The sequence below is a fragment of the Homo sapiens genome, chromosome 15 (genome assembly GCF_000001405.40).
Source record: "Homo sapiens chromosome 15, GRCh38.p14 Primary Assembly".
Taxonomy (NCBI): Eukaryota; Metazoa; Chordata; class Mammalia; order Primates; family Hominidae; genus Homo; species Homo sapiens.
The window spans coordinates 79,895,250-79,898,841 of NC_000015.10; the positions used below are offsets into that span (position 1 = coordinate 79,895,250).

At 49.1% G+C, this 3,592-nt stretch overlaps 2 protein-coding genes across 4 annotated transcripts in view, besides 2 other annotated features; both read right to left on the minus strand.

The window, feature by feature from the left end:
* The window catches only part of MTHFS (methenyltetrahydrofolate synthetase), a 53,739-nt gene extending 51,703 nt beyond the window's left edge, over positions 1-2,036 (minus strand). The window contains exon 1 of one of the 3 annotated variants that reach the window (NR_037654.2): positions 1,542-1,765. Coding sequence is in view for 1 of the 3 variants with exons in the window: in NM_006441.4 (NP_006432.1) it covers positions 1,623-1,739 (117 nt within the window). In the remaining 2 variants the exon portion in view is untranslated. Of the gene's footprint in view, positions 1-1,541; positions 1,766-1,911 lie in introns of those variants that run through there. The other 2 variants (NM_001199758.1, NM_006441.4) reach the window with 2 other exon arrangements.
* Positions 1-3,592, minus strand: part of ST20-MTHFS (ST20-MTHFS readthrough) — a 79,546-nt gene that overhangs the window by 51,703 nt on the left and 24,251 nt on the right. The gene's annotated exons all lie outside the window — the stretch shown is intronic.
* Positions 1,774-2,073: a silencer, noted in NCBI's record as "silent region_6724". NCBI's record gives its function as "represses an Ori minimal core promoter by ATAC-STARR-seq in GM12878 lymphoblastoid cells {active_cell/tissue: GM12878}" and the evidence as "EXISTENCE:reporter gene assay evidence [ECO:0000049][PMID:35858748]".
* Positions 2,214-2,263: an enhancer, noted in NCBI's record as "active region_9934". NCBI's record gives its function as "activates an Ori minimal core promoter by ATAC-STARR-seq in GM12878 lymphoblastoid cells {active_cell/tissue: GM12878}" and the evidence as "EXISTENCE:reporter gene assay evidence [ECO:0000049][PMID:35858748]".

The window sequence follows — 3,592 nt, forward strand, 5'->3', positions numbered from 1 at the left end:
ACTCACACTCCCCTATCCCATCTTTCCCTTCACCTGAAAGAATTCATCTTGTTCTCCGAAATTCATCTCAAACATTTTCCAATAGAAAGCTTTCCAATTTCCCCTCCCCAAGGCTATGTTTCCACAACATTGGTGTTTACCTTTATCATATATCTGGCTTCAATGCAATTCTTTATTCATGTCTGTTTCCTCTTCTAGGCTCTCTGCTCCTTTAGAGCAACAATCATATCTTTTTCATCTCCACAACCCAGTATATAGCCAAGTGTGCACTACATAGGTGTTCAACATATGTGAATGAATTAGCTAAATTTTAAACAACTAGATAGTAAGGACAAGAGTCTATATCCTTTACATCTACTAAAACACCCAGCAATGCTTCCTCATAATAGCTAAAATAATTCTGTTTGAACGAACGAATTAACATCTGTATAGATTCCCTCATACACACCTACATAGATGAAGAGAGGGGTGAAATGAGCATATATGCTTTACTGCTTTAACCCATAGGCACCTTGAATTTGAGTAAATAACGGATAATAGAATAGTGAAGGGTAATTAAGAAAGCCTGATGGTATAACTAATTCCAAGGAACATCAAGTTTCCAAATATCTGGTGTCTCTGAAGCATGATGCTGGGAAGACAGATCATCAGTTTGACTTACAACAGAATTACAAATACGTACTTATTCAGGGGACATTAAATTTTTCTTCCTCTGGTGTCTAACAAAAATGAGTCCCCAAAAACTCTTTAGAACATGCCTTCACAACAGGATATGACTGCCATTTTATTGATAAGAAAACTGACATTACATAGACTAAAAATACATAGCAGTGCAGTTGGTGAAAGTAATGAAACAGAGGTCTGCTAACCAACAAACACGGACCCTCACTTATTCCTCTCATTTCTCTCTTCTGTTTCCTACGTTCTTGGGAAGCCTGGATATGATAGCCAAGTCTTCCTTTCGTTCACTCAAGAAAAAGCATTTAATGTTGACCAACTCTGAGACAGGAAAAGCCTAGGCCCTGGAGCTACTGAGACACAGCCTTAGCCCTCCATATGCTTAGTGAAGTCCAGTCAACCTCTGAGTTCTGCCCTTTGGCATCTCCACACCTTTTTTGGTGTTCCCTCGTCTAAAGCACCTGCATCTTTCTCTGGCCATTTTACTAATATAACCGGAGTCTTACTCGTAGCTCATTAACTTTAGGCCTCACTGAGGGAACCTGGGCACTCAGGTGTTCACCCATCTCCTCTACCACAACTTTCTGTTCTCACCGTGCTCTCACCACAGCACCGTCATCCCCACGGAGGGTTTTCGAGCACCAAAAGAGCCACCCATGCAAACAAACTCCCCTCCCAGAGATAAATCTGTCAACCCCTGCCGTCCTCTCGCTCTTTAGCCCCACAACTTTCACTACCGGGCCCTCTCCCCGCCATAGTGCCAAGAGCGTCCAGACCACGACTAGGGGGCGTGCGCGCGCCGGGAGGGGAAACGTGCGCGCGCCGGGGGGTGGGGGGGCGCCTAGCCCAGCGCCAGCACGGACCATGCACAGATCAGCAATCGCTGGCCGCCAGGCCTTCGGAGGGTCTGTCCGCCGCGGCTTCCGCTACGGGCGGCCTCGCACCTTCTGGCTCAGTACGCGGGACTGGCGTAGCCGCTCCTCGGCACTCATCGCCCGCAGACGCTGCTTCAGCTCTCCCCGCAGGCTCCGCTTGGCGCTGCTCACCGCTGCCGCCGCCATCTCACGCCCAAGCCGAGTCCAGTCCCGCCCTCGGCGCCCTGGGCGCCCTCGGGTTCGGTCTCCGCCCCTGGCCGCTCCCAGGTGGATCCGCGGCCTAGGGGCGGGTCGGGGCTCGGGGAAGCGCCCCCACCCCGCTTCCGGGACGCGGGCCCGCGGCGCGCCGCGCGCTTACCTCGCCTCTGGCCCTTGGGACCCAGCCCTCGTGCGGTCCCCGTGGTCCGGCTCGCCCTCCCCGGTTAGGGGAGCGGTGGCGAGGCGCCGTCGCTGCCCTGCCGCCTGACCTCCCTGAGCCTGGGCCCTCACCGGGACCGCGGAGGCGGCAGCGCCACTGGCGGGGATGGTAAAGATGGCCGGCAGTACCCACGGTGCCTGGCATCTCTTGTACTGTTCAGTAGTGGGACTTCAGGGGCCAGAAAAGAAGGGCAAGGCAGGACATGTAGCGAAATCGTCACGAGTCGCTTAACTACAGGGATAGGTCTGACAGATGCCCCGATTTCCTTCTTGTGCAAACATCAGAGTGTAGTTACACAAAGTTACTACACACCTATGCTACACACCTGTACAGCGTATTTTGTACCGAATACTGTAGGCAATTGTAAGCACCGTGATACTTGTGTATCTAAACACAGAAAAGGTAATGTGTTGGTTGGCTACCACATCAGTAGGTATTAGGAATTTTTCAGCTCCATTATAATCTTAAGGGACCACAGTGGTTGATGGAAATGTCCTTATGTGATGAATGTATAGATGATACATAATCGGGAACACTGCTAAAGCAATAACTGTAGTGTAAAAGCCAAATTTTGCGGGTTTCTAGTGTGAATGTATTCCAGGTAATAGTGCCCACATAGGTACTTCCTGTTATAACCATCAGTGACTGTTCATTCCCACCACTCAGCTCTGATTAAAACACAAAAATGAATTAAAACTAAAAGCAGTTGGGGGGTGGGTGAGGCACTTGCAGGAAGAGGTAAAAGAAACTGTTAAGTCTTAAACTGCTCCCAGTAGACAGGCGCCTCAGATGGCATAGACGGTTGCCTCTCAGATGTGACTTCCTAAGAAAACCAGAGCTGTCTCTGCCAAAAATACGTCCCTACTGACCGCCCCAGTGTCTTAATCCCCACCGTTAAGAATCACACCTCCTAGGTAAAGCATTAATTAAGTGCCCGGTGAGAATGCACATGGCTTGAGAGGGGAGTTCTGGCTTCTTTATGGAATCTATCAACAGCTTCCAGGGAAAGCTAATGCAAGTCCCAGGGGGACTGTGTTGTAAGAAAAAGGGAAGGCCAGGCAGGTACAGCGTATACATAGTGCAATTAGATTTGCTGACCTAAAAGTTAGAACACGAGGTCTAACAAACTACGTACTTTTCTAATCTGTTCATTTTTACCAAAAAATAAAAATTAAAATTAACACTAGCTCCACGTTGAATCATTTACCAATTTTCTTTGTTCAGAATATCCCAGAGTATCCTGCATATCAGGTTGCCATATCCATCAACCCCAAATGGCAAGCCAGAGAGAGAAGGCTGGGGAGGAGGCATCAATGGAAACTCTTAAGCAGCCAGGGGCACTGGAAACTGCAGAAAGCATGGGAAGGAAGGAGGGAAGAGGGAAGCCGACCTGAGTCTGCTTCTAGCCTGAGTCCGCTTCTCAGTCTAGTCTGCAGTCTAGCCTAGTGACACAGAAAAGGACTTTTGGGGTAATGGCACACCTTAAAAGTCTGCCTGGGGCAGAAAAGACACCGCCTTCCTGGTCATCATCCCATAATTAATTGCCTGGATCCTGTGTTGAGCTTTTACCCTTTGGCTGAATTTCCAGCCAGACTCCAAAACTGAAGACAAAAATGGCATA